Source organism: Homo sapiens, chromosome 11, assembly GCF_000001405.40.
Source record: "Homo sapiens chromosome 11, GRCh38.p14 Primary Assembly".
Taxonomy (NCBI): domain Eukaryota; kingdom Metazoa; phylum Chordata; class Mammalia; order Primates; family Hominidae; genus Homo; species Homo sapiens.
The window spans coordinates 4,656,485-4,676,399 of NC_000011.10; the positions used below are offsets into that span (position 1 = coordinate 4,656,485).

At 40.3% G+C, this 19,915-nt stretch overlaps 1 long non-coding RNA gene and 1 pseudogene across 2 annotated transcripts, besides 1 other annotated feature; one reads left to right on the forward strand and one right to left on the reverse strand.

Annotated features, from left to right (window-relative positions):
- Positions 2,257–2,802: a transcriptional cis regulatory region, noted in NCBI's record as "candidate enhancer chr11.762 targeted for multiplex CRISPR interference". NCBI's record gives its function as "positively regulates HBB gene expression in K562 cells {active_cell/tissue: K562}" and the evidence as "EXISTENCE:mutant phenotype evidence [ECO:0000015][PMID:30612741]".
- OR51A9P (olfactory receptor family 51 subfamily A member 9 pseudogene) lies at positions 4,347–5,245 on the reverse strand (annotated as a pseudogene).
- LOC105376528 (uncharacterized) lies at positions 10,107–15,775 on the forward strand. 2 transcript variants are annotated; one of them, XR_930990.3, is made up of 3 exons: positions 10,107–10,478; positions 13,247–13,373; positions 15,537–15,775. It is a non-coding gene; the product is annotated as an uncharacterized LOC105376528 (long non-coding RNA). The 2 variants fall into 2 exon arrangements; XR_930989.3 differs by having other exon boundaries at positions 10,138–10,478; positions 13,187–13,373.
- The last annotated feature ends 4,140 nt before the right edge of the window (positions 15,776–19,915 follow it).

The following is a 19,915-nucleotide window of genomic DNA, read 5'->3' on the forward strand; positions in this document are numbered from 1 at the left end:
AATTTGTATCTTTAGACTAGACTATCGGGTTAGTCTAGAGCTCTAGGCATATAGCTCCAATGGCCTGTGTAACCCAGCCATTTGGATGCTTCAAGCTCAAAGTGTCCAAAAATCAAACTCATGATATTCTTTATGCAATTATATTCATCATTCATGTTTCATATATATCAGTTAATCTCACCACCACTTATTCTGACATGCAAGCCTCAAACCTAGGAGTGAAACTTGGCCTTTTCTTTTTCTTCTCTTAACCTTCATATTTAATTCCAAATAAAGTTATATAATTTCTACTGCTTTTATAACTTTGATCCCATATTTCTCTTTATTTGTACCACTACTCCCCTAGTCCAAGCCACAATAAATTCATCTGGACTATTTCGATAGCCTTATGAGTGGTAAATTTGCATGCATTATAGCTTTAATTCAATCTATTCTCTGCAACACAGTGTAAAACCATCTTTCCAAAGGCAAATGTGCTCATGTCAAAACCACTCTCTCCTCTGCTTAAAATACCCTTAATATTTCCCATCTTTTTGGTTGAGCCCATTTCTATTTTCAGTCTTCTCTTCAACCACCGGCTCCTTGCTCACTGACTTCCAGTCCCACTGCCTTTTGTTTCATTCCTTGATTTCACCATACTTCCTCCTTCTACAAGCTCTATGGAGACATGGTTTTTTATGCCTAATACTCCTTCCCCTAAATATTCTTTCCCAGTTATTGTTATTATTTTTTTAACATTCAGACCTCCCCTTAATTATCATTTCTTGAGAAAAGTCATTCCTTACACCTTAGGGCAGGTAAGATACCCTTATTGTGTACTTTTATAAAACCATCTATTCTTTTTTGTTTGTTTGTTTTTTTGAGATGCAGTCTCGCTCTGTCGCCCAGGCTGGAGTGCAATGGCGTGATCTCGGCTCACTGCAACCTCCACCTCCTGGATTCAAGCAATTCTCCTGCCTCAGGCTCCCCAGTAACTGGGATTACAGGCGCCTGCCACCACGCCCAGCTAATTTTTTCTATTTTTAGTCGAGACAGGGTTTCACCATGTTCTCCAGGCTAGTCTTGAACTCCTGAGCTCACGTGATCCATCTGCCTCGGTTTCCCAAAATGCTGGGATTACAGGTGTGAGCCACCGCCCCTGGCCAGAACCATCTATTCTTAATTCACTTATTTAGTCATTTTCATAGGCAGAATTCTAAAATGGCCCTACAGAAATGTCCTGCTCTGGTTCCCAGAACCTTTGAATATTATGAGATATCACTTCTGGGATTGTGTTATATGCTGTATTGCACAACTGGATCTTCATATAGGGAGATTACAGCCTCGTGGGCCTGATCTAATCACATGAGACCTTAAAAACAAGACATTTCTCTAGCTGGTGACAGAAGAAATCAGAGATATTCAGAGCATGGCAAGGATGTGATGTGCTGTTGCTGGCTTGATGATGGAGGAGTGCGGGAGAAGGAATGTGGGCAGCCTAGGGAGCTGAGAGAGGCCAATGGAGAACAATGGAAAAGTGATCCCAGTGGCACGGCTTCAAGGAACTGGATTCTGTTAATAACCAAAATGAATGTGGAAGCAGTTTCTTCCCCAAGGCTCCCAAATTAGAACCCAGTCCGCTGAAACTAATTTTAGCCTTATGAGAACCCAGCTATACTTCTCATAAGGCTAAGAAGCTCACCCATACTTCTGACCTTCAAAATATGAACTAATAAATGGGTATTGTTTTAAGCTGCTTTTTTTTTTCTCTGCAGCAATGGGAAACTAATGTAGTCACCAAATACATTCTTAGTGCTATTAAAATAAGTGTGAACCCAGCACTGAGAATGCAATGGAGAAAAAAGTGGTTTAAATTCTTCCCTCATGGAGTGCACAGTCTCCTGGTGGAAGAAAAGCCTAAATGGATATTGCTTAATGCTATTGCAAATTTATATTTCTTTGTAAACATATTTAATTAATGTGTATTCCTTCCACAAGGATCAAGTCTGGTTTTGGTAGCATTGTGTTCTTGTCCATCATGTAACAGAGTGTCTGGCTCACAGGAGTCACTAAAGAAAAAATAAAAGAACTATTTGTTAATACATGAAGAATAAAATGCTTCAAGTCAGATCGCTGATACAAATGAGACAGTTGTGATGGAGTTTGAGTAAGGTTTGTTTTCCTGACTCTTAAGCTTGTGTTCTTAAACACTGTAACATAAAATCTTAATTACCCAATTCAGACACTACATACTGAGATCCTGTGAAATTGACCTCACACTTAGTGTTGTGGGACAATCAGAGATAGGAGAGACCCAACAGAGTGAGTTCAGGAAAGGACTTTATTAAAAGGTGGTCACCTGGCTCAGTAGGACTAGTGTCCAGGAAAGTATGAGTCCTGGACAAAGAAAGGAGCCACCTTTTAAGCAGTCGGTGGTCAGGAGTTACGTGATGCAGGAAGCATACTTACAGAAGCGAGAACAAAGGCAGTTGATCAGTTTTTTACATTTATCTATACTACATGTTCTACATCCTTGGGAAACCATGTTTCTGTATCAACCTTGTAACTCTGCAGCTGTGCTAAGGAGGTGAAGCAGGAACTTGCTGAGCCTCAAGGAATGTGAAACTGGTGAGTACAGATAAGGCTGGCTGAGCACAGAAGGAAAAACAGGGAGTTAGTATTCTTCTCTAACTTAGACTACGGGGGGGATACACTACACTTAGCTTTTAAAGGAAAAAGTAAAAATTTCTCAGTTGTCTTTGTACTTGTAAAATGCATGAATTCCTTCTTCAGTAGTAGGAAGGGTAGTGGCACAGGTGAAGAGAAAGATACACATGTCCTTACAACTTCACCTTGTAAGAAGGTGCATTCCAGCAGACACACGTAAACAAATCTTAGTATTGTATGCCCCAAAGCCCTTTTTCATTTCTTTTTTTCAACAAGAACCCTTTATGGAGCCAAAGTACTTATATCACTGAGGTGTGAAGGTCATCACTTCCAACAAAAAGGCCCAGGAGACCTCCTAGGGTGAGAAAATAGGGAACTTTTCTTTACCAAGAGAGAATACTTAATTTAGTCAGTCAGTAGTATTGCATCTCTTACACTTCCAGTTTGTCTACCCAACGTAGTTGAAAACCTTCTCACAAATGTTTACAATTATTTACATGTATTCTTTTCTCTGAAGGACCAAAAGCTCCCTAGAGGAAAACATCTCCAAATTACATCTTAAATTAAACAACTCATTGCCTTATCTCCTATTCAAAATAATTTATCATTAAATCTTCAAAATAATTATTGAGTATCTGCTATTCCACCAACAGTACTAGGCACTGAGTATATGTTGGCCCCCTCGGGGCTTACCATCTAGTTGAATGACAAACTATTGTATATATGCAGGAAGCAAACATAGTACCTTGAATAATCTGGAAAGGAGAATTAATGAGACAGGATTTTCTGAGAAATTAGGTTTATACTTTATTTGAAATGAGACACAGGCATGGGGGGAATGAGAATGTTCCAGGCAGTGTAAAAGGTATCTGGGAAAACTGAGGCCAGATAAGAGGTTAAACTGATTAGTCTTTCTGGTTCTAGTTTTGTTCATATGTCCAACACACTTCTAATCTGCAATTTATACTACTAACTTATAGTAAAAATATAATGATTTTTAGGTACTAGATACAAACCAAACAACTTAGCATAGTATGCACAGTCCTATACAATTTGGTCACCTACTTCTTCATCCCCTACCATTCCCTCTTCTTACCCTATGCTGCAGCCACGCCTATAAAGACATAAGCGGTAGAGACATAAAGAAGTACAGGAATGCAAACCTTTTCACAAACACTTTTCCTTTTTCAAAACGTGGAGTCTTTTTTTCACGTTGCTCTTTTTTTTTTAGATTTTTCTGTTTCTTATTTAATTCCTACTTAGCCTAGAAAAATTCTAAGTTTTTCAAGGTGAAATAAAAATTATTCTCTTCTTTGTGGAAGCTTGCCACACTTTCCCAGGAATGTTCTGTCAATGACCAATTTGTAGTCTCTAGCAATCTTTTGAGAGGAACGTTATTATGGCACTTATTGGTTTATAGTCTGGCTGTGTCTTTACTTGCCTTTCTCCTGGCACAAGTTTGTGAGCTTTCAGAGACAAAGGAACACATTTCATTTATTTCTCAGTCTTTCATCCTCATCACTACTTTCTTACAAAGTAAATCTGAACGTAAATTTGTAACATAAATAAGCCTTATGGGCTTCCCACTATCTTAGCACAGATTAGGGATTTTCAGTGCTAGCTGGGTCTAACAGGTTTCTGTAAGGCTATAGCAGTCTCTTTAATGTTACCCAGACCCTATAATATTTTGTAATTTCATCAGCCTTGGCTTCTCCCCATCAGCATCCTGAGGATGGCCTCCCTGATGGGCTTGGACTTCATACTGTAAATGATGGGGTGGAGCACAGAAGGCATCACCAGGTACACATAGGTAACAAGAGCATGTACAATGTGGGGCAGGTGCCTCCCAAAATGGTGGATCATGGACACGGTGATACCTGGAATAAAGAAGACAAAGACAGCCGGAATGTGGGAAACGCAGGTGTTGAGGGCCCAGATGCGCTCCCTGGGAGCAGCCAGACCCATGACTGTGTGCAGGATGAAGGTATAGGACAGAAAGATGAGCAGCGAGTCTAAGCCCCCTGTAGAAACAACCACGTAGACCCCATAGCATATATTGATCGTGATGTCCGCACAGGCCCGCCTCATTACATCAGGGTGGAAACAGAACGAGTGGGATGGGATGTTATCACCAGGGCAGAAATTTAGACTCTTAACCGGAAATGGCACAGGAAGAGGCACAAGGTAACTTGAGCCACAATGGCCAGCCCAATCCTGATGATGACACTATTTGTGAGGACAGCTGCATAGTGCAGGGGGTTGGAGATGGCCACAAAGTGGTCAAAGGATATGGCCAGGAGCACTGAGGACTCCACCACAGAGGAGTGCAGGAAGAACATCTGGACCAGGCAGGCATTGAAGCCCATGAGCCGGTGGTCAAACCAGAGCACAGCCAAGGTGATGGGCAGTGTGGACAAGGTGAGGCCCGCTTTGGGGAGCGCCAGCATGGACAGGAAGTAGCACATGGGCTGGTGCAGGCTGGGGTTCCTCTTCACAGCCAGGAGGATCAGGCAGTTCCCAGGGAGGGCCACAGTGTACATGGAGGAGAAGGGGATGGCGAGCCAGCCATGAACCGCCTCCAGCCCTGGGATGCCAATCATGAGAAGAGCAGGCGGTTGGAAGAAGGAGATGTTGACATAGGTCTGGGAAGGGAGCATCCTAGGGAGGCAGCCGAAGGCTCTGGAGAGATGTGAGTTCTTCAATCTGAGTAGATAGGAGGACATTGCCAGGATGCCTGTCAGTAGAAAGACATTCATTTATGCTGTGTAGGCTTTTTCATTAATTGTTTTCCATTGTTCCTAGCCCTTGGTCTGTTATTATTAACTGTTCCAGGAATGTGCAGACATTAACTAATAAGCCCTCAAATGAAATTCAAGTCTTAAGGGATAGCGTAACTCTTCCCTAGTTAACAAGACATGAATGATAATGGTAGATATAAAATTTGTTTTTTTCTCATGTTTATTTCTTTAAATTGACATAAAAATGTATGTATTTATCCTGTACAACATGAAGTTTTCCAGTATATGTACACTGTGGAATGGTGAAATCTAGCTATTTAACACAAGCATTACCTCATACATTTATGATTTTTGTGGGGAATATCAGTTAAAATTCACTCTCTTAGCATTTTCTTTCCCTCCCTCCCTCCCTCCCTCTCCTTCCTCTCTTCTTCTTTCTTTTTCTCTTTCTCTCTCTCTCTTTCTCTTTTCTTTTCCTTTCTTTACTTTTCTTTTCTTTCCTCTTTTTTGAGATAGGGTCTTGCTTTGTTGCTCAGGCTAGAGCGCAGTGCCAAGATCATAGCTCACTGCAGCCTCAAACTCCTGGGGTCAAGCGATCCTCCTGCCTTAGACTCCTGAGTAGGTGGGACTACAGGTCTGTGCCACCATGCCTAGCTAATTATTTATTTTTTAAATTTTTGTAGAGACAGGGTATCACAGTGTTGTCCAGTCTGGTCTTGAACTCCTGGGATTAAGCAATTCTCCCACCCCAGCCTCTGAAAGTGCTGGCATTATAGGTATGAGCCACCATACCTGGCCTTAGCATTTTCAAGAATAAAAGATGATATGTTGTATTATAGAATTTAGTTGCTGTTAACTATACAGTTTATACTGCTTTCACTTTAACATACAGTGTCTTCACTAAATGAAAGTGTTTGCTAATTTTATTTCAGATGTAAAACACACTATCAATACTCATAATTATCATCATCACATTGTTGTTTTTGTCCTGGTCCTTATTGTTATTCCACTGATAGTATATTTTTTGCAGTATTCTAAGTGCTTTCACAGTAATTATGTCATTGGAATCTCACAATTACTTTGCCAGGTATACAAAGAAGGAAAACAGTTTTACTAAAGTGAGTGGAGAGAAATGCTTAAATCTATCAAAGAAAGATGAAAACTGCAGCCTTCCCCATAAAACAGCTATTAAAACTCCACTGTGGCCGGGCGCGTTGGCTCATGCCTATAATACCAGCACTTTGCGAGGCCCAGGAGGGCGGTTCATCTGAGGTTGGGAGTTTGAGACTAGCCTCATTAACATGGAGAAACCCTGTCTCTACTCAAAATACAAAATTAGCTGGGCGTGGTGGCACATGCCTGTAATCCCAGCTACTTGGGGGCTGAGGCAGGAGAATCACTTAAACCCGGGAGGCAGAGGTTGCAGTGAGCTGAGATCCTGCCATTGCACTCCAACCTGGGCAACAAGAGTGAAACTCTGTCTCAAAAACAATGCAAAACAAAACGAGAACAAAACCAAACAAAACAAAAAACAAAACAAAAGAAACCTTGTGTGTGTGTGTGTGTGTGTGTGTGTGTGTGTGTGTGTGTGTGTCTGTGTAAGATTTGAGGGCAAAATCCTGACATTCTCTAGTAATCAAGTCCCACCAATGAGAAAGTTTCAGGGTAAGGATGAAAATAGGTAGTAGGAATGTTTTGGTAAATGAAGTGATGATTTGATTCTTACCAGGTCACTAAGAACTGTCAAAGATGTGGGGTCTTTCTGTGTCTTGCCCAGAGAATATTGACTGGGTCATTGGATGCCCTTGCAATTCAGGCTGCAAATTACAAGAATCATTTCTGCACCCCATTGACTCAACATTTCCCAGAATTTAGGAATGTCAGACAAATATTTCCTTCAGCCCCTTAGCATATCCTTCCTAAAGTCTTTTGTCCTTGAATGTGCCTCCCCCTAAATCACTTAACATTGTCTTTCCTAGTCGGGAGGGCCAAAGCTGCAGCCCCAAGGAGCCTGAGGTTCTCCCCTAAAGTTAGAATTTCCAAAGACACCTGTTAAAACATGAATAAAAAACATAAATTTAGGCTAGTTTCAATGTTCTGTGGAGTTTGTTCTACTAATGCTACTAATGTTATTGTCTGATGCTGGGCAAATAAATTTACTAATGGATCAATCATTCAGTATGCTATGTTCCAGATATTAGACTTTTCACATTTCTGATTGTACATAATACCTCTCTGCTTATAAAACAATCATGCAAGGTAGATATTATCATCTTCTTAAAAAAGATAGCTATAACAACAATAATAATAATATTATTTTAAAACAAATAAAACTAGAGAGAGAGGTTGAGTTCCTCCAGGCCAGTCTAGATGTGACTGTACAAATTCAAATTCACGTCTACTTCACTTAAACCTTTCAACAGTCTCAAACTGTCTGCATTATACTAGATGCTAGAGATTGGTAAAATGTGGGCCGCTTGGAGCAGATTAGCTGGAAGTCCCTATTTTCTTCTAATGTTTCATGGTGACATGATTTAGGGCTCTGCAGATGCAGTGTTTTCCTATTTCTTTAAAACTGTCTTTACTCAGTATAACCCTTTTGGTTCTTCATACTATTTGCCGTTTATTATGCTAATTGCCTCTCCATTTTTTATTTTCTTTTTACTAATTCAAGTGACATTTCTTCAGAAACCTCATTCAATCCTAATGTTCTGATTTTGATGATTTCCAAATCTCTGCTCTTTTTTTTTTTCAGGGACAATCAATGGATGAGCAAGTGAATACATTATTGAATAATGATTTCTTTATTTATATAATCCACTCCTCTTTACCCCAAGCCTTAATAAAGCCTCCTCTAGTGCACATGTTCACAACTTTTACTGTATAGTTTGCATACAGAAAAGATCAATGACTCCTTCAGATTAATTAAATTAATTGTTATTTTCAGTCAGTCTTATTTAAAGTTAGGTAAGGTCAATCCAGAAAATAGTCTCTTTGTCATTGGTAACATAAATCAGAATACAGGGTAAGTTCTGGATTCTCCATTTAACTTTCGGCAATCTGAGGATAAATCTTGCTGAAGTTAATGTGACATTTCCCTTTCTTCCAGCCTGGATTGATTTATCTGTTCTCCAGTGACTCACAAATGCGTTATCCTAGAACTCTCAGTTGTCTCCTAGTTGAAACGCAGGTCCTCTGTAACTCTGGGTATTTGTCTGATCTATTTCTCCTGGATGTGGTAGAAGGATCAAAATGCTAAGTTTGGTTCCATATTACAAGAAGCTGAACACTTAAAGATGTGACTATACAGTACCTCTTAGGACAAGTTGCCAAAAATTTGTGGCACTTTGTACAATCAAACTAAGTTTTCTCATCTCCAGATAATTGTCTTTTCATCCATTTTCATGTATTGTAAATATTACAGTGATATGAGAGGTCTGACATGAGGGATGAATTCTGTGTATTTAAATGAAAATTTTTGCTTTTGTTTTCTTTCTTTTCTATAAATACCCATTCTAGTAGACAGCTTGGATTACCATGTTTCTTAGTTCCCATGGACTCAGAAAGTTTAAAGTTAAATCTCTCAACTCTGGAAATTAGACCAGGTTTGGTTTTCTGCTATTATATCTAGGACATAAAAGAGTCAAACCTATTTAAAAATCATAACTCTTCCCAGAAGAAGGAGGAAAAATGTGGATGATTTCTAACTTATGTTTATTTTAATACTCTAAGAATGTTCCATGACTGTACGTTGTCTGTGGGAGTCAAAAGGAGTGATTCAACATGTTTGCTTTCCTCTACCTCCAAGTCAAGTGCTTTCCTTAAAGGCTCTTCTTATCCAAGAGAATATGAAGAACAATCTCATGGCGAAAGGTGACATCTCAAGCAAACATTCAGATCATCCCCAGGATGCTACCTGAGATGGGATCTTAAGATACCCTCACAGAGTTGCCCTACTTAGAGAAACCAAAGAGTATGAATCCCCTTGGTCACAGAGTCTAGGTTTCTGAATAATGATCTGAATTGAGAAATCTCTGTGTTCAGGAACGTTGCCTCTTTCCTTACTCTCCCTCATCTAGGGGCATGTTCTTGCCATCTATGGAAGTCCAGGCCTCCTCACTCCTTTCCTGCTTCTGACACCTTCTCATCTCTCATCCCACTGATTCCTCCTTTTGGTGGTAGCTGACAGAGTGGGGAACTCAGACTCATTGAGCAGGCCCCTTCCCTTCTAAATAGTGCAGAAGGGATTGTGTCCAGGCCCTGTGTTACTCACCCTGCTTGTTGTCAAAGCCTTCTTTACCTCTCCACATCCTGAAGGAGCCCAGGAAGGCTCTGGAACTGACGTCCCGTCTTTACACCCTTGGCTAGATGCCCTGGTGAGATGCTGTTCCCCAGGGATCCCTGGGGCCCAGGCCACCCAGAAGATTCTCTGCTAACTTGTTCCTGGGCAATAGAAAATGACTGGGGTGTGTGTGTTGGGAAGGAGAGCTACATTTAAGCAACTGAGCTGTGGAGGAGACGAGAGAGCTAGAATCATCATGTCTCTCTCTGTGCTCAATACCTTGAGCTCAATGAGTCTGAGTTCCCCACTCTGTCAGTGTTTCCACTCTGCCACACCTGCAGGAAGCTTCACTGGGCACTTCAATCACTTCCTTTACTGTGCTCCTCAGTGACATCAGCTTTTCCATTTGGAGTCACAGAGACCACTTTGTAGCCTCTCTCAGTGACAGCCTTTTAGGTTGTCAGGGTCAGTGGTGTCTTCCCTCCACTCCATCTTAGCCCCCAGGGATGGACATCCAGGGGAAGCAGCCCCACTTCCTGTGTCTACTCCTCATGGACATTGTGGGAGCTCCATTTTCTTCAACAGAAGATATGAATCAAGCAATCTGAGGGCCTAGATGGGGAGAAAAGGGCCCTGAAACAGGGAGAGATGAATGTAGCCACCAGCTCTCTGTTTTTTTCTTTAGAGGGGCAGGGAGTCATTCAACCTAAGAATTTTTCCTTGCTGTCTTGCATATCCCAACAGGCCTCCCTTCATTCTTACAGTGTGACTGACCTAAATTGAAAATATGAAGAGGACCCATGGGCTAAAAGGTATTTGAAAAGATGTTTATCATCAATAATCGTTAGTGAAATGCAAATCAAAACCACATTATCAGCTCGTATTTGTTAGAATGGTTATTATCAAAAATGAAAAAAATGGTAAGTGTTGGTGAGGAAAGGGGGACCCTTGTATACTATTGGTCAAAATGTAAATCAATGTAGTCATTATGGAAAATAATACGGAGGTTCCTCAAAAAATAAAACTAGAACTACCATAAGATCCAGCAATCCCTTTTCTGGATACATATCCCAAAAAATGAAATTAGTATCTCAAAGAGATATCTGTATGCCCATGTTCTTTGCAATATTATTCACAAGAGCCAAGATATGGAATTAACCCAAATCCCCATCAACAGATAAAGGGAAAATGAAAAGGTGATGCACACACACACGTACACACACACACACACACACACACGCACACGCACACACTACTCAGCCTTAATAAAGAAGGAAACCCTGTCATTTGCAACAACATGGATGAACCTGGAGGACATTATGTTGAGTAAAATAAGTCAGGCACAGAAAGACAAGTACTACATGATCTCACTTATAAGTGGAATCTAAAAAAGTCAAACTCATGGAAGCAGAGAGTAGAATGATGGTTTCCAATGATTGGGGCTGCTGGGTGGGAAAAATGGGGAGGTGTTTAAAGGGTACAAAATTTCAGTTATGTGGGATGAATAAAATCTGATCTAATGTACAGCATGGTGACTACAATTAATTATATCCGATTGTATACTTTAAATTTGCTAAGAGATCTTGAAAGTTCTCAACACACACAGACACACAAGGGAACTATGTGAGGTGATTAGCATGTTAATTAGCTCGATTGTGGTAATCACTTCACAATGTATACATATATCAAAACATTATGTTGTTAGGGTAAACGTGGACATAAAGATGGCAACAATAGACACTGGAGACTACTAGAGGAGTGAGGGTGGGAAGGGGGTGTGGGCTGAGAAACTACCCACTGGATACTATCCTCGCTATCTGGGTGATGGGATCATTCATACACCAAAACCCAGCCAGATGCATTTTTCCCATGTAACAAATGTGCACGTGTACCCTCTGAATCTAAAATAAAAGTTGAAACAAAAACAAAAATAAAATCGCCATACTGTATGCTGTAAACATATACAATTTTTATTTGTCAATTATACCTCAATAAATCTGGAAAAAATAAAGTCACTTGCAAAATAAAACAGTAAGAATATTAACATTGATACAGTCAAGGCATTGAACATTCCCACCACCACAAGGATTCCTCATGTTGCCCTTTTGCATTTATGCTCACTTTCCTCCTTTGCCATCCCCTTCTTAACCCCTGAAAACCACAAATGTGTTCTATATCGCTATAACTTTGTTATTTTGAGACATTATATATTCTAGATACTAGTCCTTTGTTGTATCCTTGGTTTGGGAATACATTCTCCCACTCTCTGGGTCCTCTTTTCATCCTCTTAGCAGGAATTTTGACAGAGCAATAATTTTTAACTTTAATAGAGTCTAATTTATCATTTTTTCTTGTATAATATGATAACTTCGTGGAACTCACTTAGTTTTAGGGTTTTTTAAAAAAATAGATTATTTGAATATTTTCTATGTATGTAATATTAGGTATATAATATAATGTACAAATAGGGATATTTCATTTCTTTATTTTTGTCTGTATGCCTTTTACTTTTTTTCCTGCTTTATTGCGTTGACTATGGACTATGTTGGATAAGAATGATGACAGTCGACATTTTTTCTTTGTTCCCACGTTTAGAGGGAAGACATTCAGTCATTCACCATTAACTATAACATTAACTGTAGGTATTTATAGATGCTCATCTTCAAGTTGAGGAATTTCTCCTCTGTTCTTATTTTTCTGAGTTTTCATCATAAATGTTTGTTGAATTTTTATCAAATGCATTTTCTGTATCAATTTATATCATCATGTGAAATTTATTTTTAATGCTGTTAATATGGCAGATTACTTGATTTTTGAATATTGAACAAGACTGGCCCTCCTGAAAACAAAACATGCTTGGTTATAATTTTAAAAAGTACACATAACATAAACTTTACCACCTTAACCCTTTTTTTTTTTTTTTTTTTTTTTTAGAGATGGAGTCTTGCTCTGTTGCCCAGGCTGGAGTGCAATGGCGTGATCTCCGCTCACTGCAACCTCCGCCTCCTGGGTTCAAGTGATTCTCCTGCCTCAGCCTCCCGAGTAGCTGAGATTACAGGCACGCGTCACTATGCCTGGCTAATTTTTTGTAGTTTTAGTAGAGACGAGGTTTCACCGTATTGGCCAGGCTGGTCTCGAACTCCTGATCTCGTGATCCACCTGCCTTGGCCTCCCAAAGTGCTGAGATTACAGGCGTGAGCCACCACGCCTGGCCCAACCATTTTTAAGTGTACAATTCTGTAGTGTTAAGCATATTTACATTGTTGTATAACTAATGTCCAGAACATTTTCATCTTGTGAAACTGAAATTCTATACCCATTAAACAAACAATTTCCCGTTTGCCCCTTCCCCGTCTCCTGGCCACCACCATTCCACTTTCTGTTTCTAAGAATTTGACTACCTCATATAAGTGACAACATACAGTATTTGTCTTTTTGTGACTTTCTTATTTCACTTAGCATAATGTCCTCAAGCTCTGTCCATGCTGTAGCACTTATCAGAATTTTCTTCCTTTTTCAGGCTAATTTTTCATTGTCGGTATATACTAAATTTGTTTATCCATCATCTGTCCATTGACAGTTGGTTGCCTCCACCCTTTGACTATTGTGAACAGTGCTGCTATGAACATGAGTGTGCAAATATACTTTCAAGATCCTGGTTTCAATTCTTTTGAGATTACCCAGAAGTAGAATCAGTGGAACATACGGTAATTCTATTTTTAATATTTTGAAGAACTGTGATAACATTTTACTGTTTTACATTTCTATCAACAGTGTTAAAGGATTCTAATTTCTCCACATTCTAGTAGCCATACTGTGTGTGGTGCGCTGTGAAAAACGTTTGTGTCTATATATGAGAGATATTAGCCTGTAGTTTTTTTGTGTGTGGTTTTTGTACTGTTTTGTTATCAGAGTAATACGTCACAAAACATATTGGGAGATGTTTTCTCCTTTTCCATTTATTGGAAGAGATAGTGTAGAATTCTTCTTTTAATGTTTGTTAGAATTTTCTAGTGAAACAATCTGGACCTATGAATTTCTTTTTGGGGATTTTATAAACTAAAAATTCAATTCTTAATAGTTACAGGGTTACAAATTATATATTCATATTTTGGGAGTTGTGGTAGTTTGTGTTTTACTAGGAAGTGGTCCACTTTTCTGTATATAGAATTGTTTGTAGTATTTCCTCATTATTCTTTTGATGTACACAGAGTCTGTAATAATAACCTCCTTTTCATTCCTGATATTATTAATTCATGCCTTCTTTCTTTTTTCTCTGTTAGTCTTGCTAGGAGCTTATTAATTTTATTGATCTCTTCAAGGAATCAGCTCTGTTTCAAAGATTTTATTTATTTTTTTCTGTTTTTAATTTTATTGATTTCTTCTCTTATCTCTATCATTTCCTTCTACTTGCTTTGGGTTTTGTTTTGCTCTTCTTTTCCTTGGTTCTTGATGGCATAGCCTAGATTATTGATATGAGACTTTTCTTCCTTTTTAATATATTCATTTAAGCTACAAATGTTCTTCTCAGCACTGTTTTATCTGTGTTATACAAATTTTGGTATGTTTTATTTTCATTTTTATTCACGTCAAATTATTTTTTATTTCCATTGAGACTGCTTTTTGTTATCATTAATTATTTAGGAATTTCCAAGTTATCTTTCTGTGATTACATTGTATTGGAGAACATATTGCGTGTAACTTTTATTCTTTTTAAATTTGGTCTCCGTTGATACTGGTGGTGGGAGATTTATTACCACTAAGTGAAGATGGGTATTTTCTCCACATTTTCTTTATGATTACATGGTGTGAGGGTCCTCATTACTCTGGGGTGGCGGTGAATATCTTGATTCTCTACTAGGCCTCCTCTGCCATCATCCCATGGGGGATGGGATGGACATCTTATTACTGCCCAGTGAGGGTTGAAATCCAGGCACCCACATGGTTTCCACTGACACCATGGAGAAAGGGGCTACTCATTATTGGCTGGCAGGAATGACAGTCTCAACTGCCTATTCGACATTCTCTGATACCACCACCCTGAGGAGGGTGTTGGGTGCCTCATTACAGCCTCATGAGGTTGGAAGTCTGGGTTCTCCATTTGGCCTTTGCTGACATGAGTTGGGGGTCATGTGGTCACAGTTTGTTTTTTTTTCTGCAGTGTTTTGCCGGAGTAAAGTGGTTTTTTGAAATCTTCTGCCTTGCTAGGATTCCCCTTTCATTGGCTAGAGGGAGCAGGCTTTTGAGAGGGCTTTTACTATCTGTGCACATTAGCATTTCTGTGTTGTCAGTTTCTTCAGCTCCAAGTCAGATATATGAGGTAAGAAGAAAATTCAATCATTAAGGATGACCACTATGTCATTCCTCTATTTCATGATGTCATTCCTCATATCCCAAGCTCCTTAGATGGTCTGCCTCTTGTCTACCCTTGGAATTTTGTGTTTGTTTTATACACAATGCCCAAGGTTTTTAGTTGTTCTTAGCAAATAAATAGAAACATGTTCTTAGCAAATAAATAGGAAAATATGTCTATTCTGTCTTCCCCAATGTGGGAGGAGTCTCCTTTAAGATTTTTAATTCATCTATTCAGCCTTGGCTACTGAGATAATTGTAAATCATTTAAAATCCCTGCAACTTCAATTCCCATTTCAGCCACTGCTATGGCTACCAGTTCTGTGCAGGTGCAGCCTGTCACAGGCTCATCTGGACCCTGGGGTTTCTCCTCTGATGCTCTGTCGTGGGGGCCCATGGGAACCCACTGAATACTCAAGCATAGGCAGTCTGCCAGTTTTGGGAGTTAATGCTCTGTGGAGCAATTCTTAACTAATTGAATACAGGAGGAATAATTACTTTTCATTTACTTCCCCCAGGAAGAAGATTATGGGCAAGTACTGCAAGAACTGGCAACAGTCTCATATTATGTGGACAACTCTACAATGCATGTTTGTTTGGGCTCTCCCTTTTCGCTGCTCCAAACTCCCTGTCCCTGACTTTTGCTTACTGGGTCCAGTCCCCAGTAGAGTAGCTGCTCTTAGGCTTTTGTCTTAGGAGAACTCAGGGGAACACGTGGCCTATGCTCTGGCAATAAAATCTTCTTGCATTGTCAGAAGTCACCTCACTATTTGATGTCTCCGTATACTCCCTCTGCTTTAATCTCACTTACTTCCCCCAAACCTCAATCTGGCCCCTGTTTAAATGTCACCTGTTCATGAAGCTTTCCTTCATCTCCACAACAAAGCTGGTTTCTCCCTTCTCTGTGGCTGCTGTACCTTGTTTATTCCTCCATGGGCGCACTGAGGGCTCTCAATACATTTGGTTTTATATCTGATACTCATTGTAATATCCACTATTTTTTTTTTGTTTCTTTTATATTTTAGGTCCTCAAACATTGCCAAACATTGTCAATCATTCTTGAAGGTTTAACATTAAATGATATTAAGAAACGGACACTGGGCAATAACTTTAGCACCAGCTGGGAGAATTGGTGATGATTATAGTCGGAAAGAATCCCAAATATGTGATGCTGGTAATCTCTGGTCATAAATACATATTGAGTGTAAATCTTTTCTTACAATAATAAAATGCCTAAGGAAATATCTATCCCCAGACACAAACACATTTACGTTCTTCTCTTATTTCTTATCAATCTAGTCTGGGATAGATGATGTGCTGCTCAGAGATGGGGGCTAGATGAAATTACTGGGGGATGGGAGCTGTCCTATTTATTGGGCAACCTCAGACTGTGGCTCTCCGGGGGAATTGGCCACCTAAACTGGTACCCTCCACTGACCAGGCCAACATAAACATGGCTGGGAAAAGGGCAATGTTTTTATGGTCCTTAGTCCCTGGAGACCCTGTTTCACTGGGAAAGATACTCTCACTATAGTGACCACTTGCCTGAGACTCCCAATTCTGGAAGCCTCTCACGGAAGAAGCTGTCTAGGACCACCTCAGTGAATTGATTCAGCTCCCAAAACACCCAGGAAGCCCTTCCAGATTAATGAGAACAGGAAGGCAAACACACTCCCAGGACGCTGATCCTTGTGAACAAGAAATAAGCAGTGGCCATAACCCCTCCCTTTTAATTCACCACCTTTTAAACTTCAATCATATTTTCCTGAGACAACATTGGAAACTGGCCTTTCTGTTGGCATTCCTTCTTCAGTGCATAGATCAGTCATTTTAGGCTCACTTCAAACCTATTTGAATCCCACGTCCCCTGCTCACCATGCTACCTTTCTTTTTACTGTCCTCCAATCTTAGTCTTGGTACTACTGTGTGTGTGTGAGAGAGAGAGAGAGAGAGAAAAAAAAAAAAAGAAAGAAAGAAAGAACAGAGACAGCAAGAGAGAGAGAGAAGAGAGACAGTGAGAGAGAGAGAGAGAGAGAAGAGAGACAGCAAGAGAGAGAGAGAACGAGAACCCAGTTCTTAAGCTTCAAGTTTCTAGGCAGATGTGACCAAGTGAGTGTTTTAAGAAAATCTGTGACTTGCTTGTCACACATACCAATGCACATTCTTATCCCCTCCATTTTCCTGTGAGGCAGATATTATTACCTATCCCGTTTCCATGGTAATAATAATGAGTATTTGTTGAGTTTATACTATGTATTAATACTATCCTGGGCATTGTCTGTGGATCACTGCACATAATTTTCACAAAAGCACTGAGCGTAGACAGCATTATCATCCCTAGCAAACAGATGAAAGCCAGCCCACAAAGAGTGAATTGAGTTGATGAGTAAGATAACTATCTGTTCTTTTTATTGGACTATGTTTCCTTATAGGAAACCTGTGAATATCTCTTGGGGTAGAAAGTCCACAATATGTGGGAACAGGTTTGATTTTTGAAGAGTCATAATTGGCAGGAACAAGAGGTAGGAGATCAAGTGGAGAAATGCCATGTTTGGGCAAAGAGGTGGCCACAGGGAAGGGGGCTGGCTTTCTCGTGTGGGTCAGAGAATAGTTTCCAAGGACACCACAGAGAGTGTCAGCCTTTGCAGGCCTTTTGGAATTGCCTGTGACTTCTTAGTGGTGTCCAGGGAATGTAATATTTAGAATGGGGGCAGGATTTAGAGATTTCCTAATTCAATCACCATGTTTTATAGTTAATCCCAAGAGATTATATGAATTAAGTAAGGTCATCCTCCTAGCGGCAGAACATGAGATGTAGCTCAGAGCTCCAAATTCCATTCCAGGGCTCTGTCCTTCCCTCAATATAGGACCCAGGGCAGGCTATTCTTGTGTTTTACCCCTGCCCCCAGGTTCTCTCTGGACCTGCTCCTTGGGAACGTAGTATGGAGCACAAGGGAAGGCATCTCTTTAAAAGCAACCCAACATAGGGCCTGTGATTAACACTACTGTATTGTACACTTAAAAATGTGTTAAGAGTTTAGCTCTTACGTTAAGTGCTCTTACCACAGAACGAAAAACAATAGCAACAACAACAACAATAAAGGAGGTGAGAGGAAACTTTTGGAGGTGATGGATAAGTTTACCACATTAGTTACGGTGATTGTTTTAAGGGTATATCACTTATGTTCAAATATATCAAGTTGTATACATTAAAAATCTATAACTTTTTGTATGTCAATCAGACTTCAATGAAGTGGCTTAAAAAAAAAAAAAGAAAAAGAAAATCTCACATCACTCTCGTGGGTAGAACCTGTGGGAACTGGGACAGATTGGCTTACACTTCTAATGCTCTTTTTCCTTGCAGAAGAGATGCAGAAACATTGAAAGCAAATGATCCTGTGCCTGTGACTGAACCCTCCTTGATCTCCGAAGGGCAAGTGTTACACTGTTGCCCGTGTTTCATCTGGAAAAAACAGAAGTACACAGAAGAATGTGATTTGTCCAAAGTCACCTCCTGTCAGGGAAGTCTTTTCCCAGTATCAGTCATCACTTTGCTGGGCCGGTCCATGCCAGTCCATGCTGGTCCATGCCTGCCTGGTCAGGCTACAATCTTCATTCACAAAGAGTACACTGGGAAGTCAGAGAGACCTGGGTTCAAGTCTGAAGTATTGAGTGACTCAGAAAATTATATAACTCCCAGCTGTGCCTCAGTTTCCTAGTCTGAACAGTGGCCATCAACACAGATGTTTGTTTTTTTTTTTAATTTAATTTTTTTATATATGTTTTTTTGAGACGGAGTCTCGCTCTGTCGCCAGGCTGGAGTGCAGCGGAACGATCTCTGCTCACTGCAACCTCTGCCTCCTGGGTTCAAGTGATTCTCCTGCCTCAGCCTCCTGAGTAGCTGGGACTACAGGCACACGTCACCACACCTGGCTAATTTTTGTATTTTTAGTAGAGACGGGGTTTCACCGTGTTAGCCAGGATGGTCTCAATCTCTTGACCTCATGATCTGCCCGCCTGGGCCTCCCAAAGTGCTGGGATTATAGGTGTGAGCCACTGCTCCCGGCCCCAGATGCTTGTTTTGAGGATTATGTAAGTAAGGTATTATTTTATTGGAGGATGAACAGTAAGCCCTCAGTATGCGGTAATATTAAATGCAATAGAAATACATGAATCCAAGATTTCTCAAACCTTTACCACCCTCCACTCCCCACAACCAGGTGGAACAGATGCTCTGTGTCTAATGTCATACCGCCTTGGCCCACTTCTGACTTTCACGGGGACTGTGAGAGACATTTTAATTCATTCTGAGTATTTCTCCCACTTTAAATTGGTGCCATTTCTCCACGTTTTTCTGCTTTTGTGCTTTCTTCAAAGCCATAGAAGTAGGCAAAGCCCAGCGGGCAACCTTGGGTCAAATGAGGAAGACAGTCGACTGCAAATGCCCTAGTCCAGCCTTCGGATAGAAATTCTCCAAGTCTTTCTGAACAGAGTCCTAGCAGAGTTGAGTGCTCATTGTCCACAGCAGCAACCTTGGTAATAACTCTGTGTTGAATTTTCTTCTGCCTTGTCTCACTGTCTCTGTTCCCTCACTCCTATTTTCTAGAAACATGTCTTAATTACACTACCTTCACCCAAGTCCCTGTCTCAGGCACTGCTTTTAGGACCCCCAAATAAATATTTCAGGCATTTCTTATATAACTCTCTGCCTCGTGCTTAAGAATTCTCATGTTTGGCCGGGCGCGGTGGCTCACGCCTGTAATCCCAGCACTTTGGGAGGCCGAGGCAGGCGGATCACGAGGTCAGGAGATTGAGACCATCCTGGCTAACACGGTGAAACCCCTTCTCTACTAAAAAATACAAAAAATTAGCCAGGCGTGGCGGCGGGCGCCTGTAG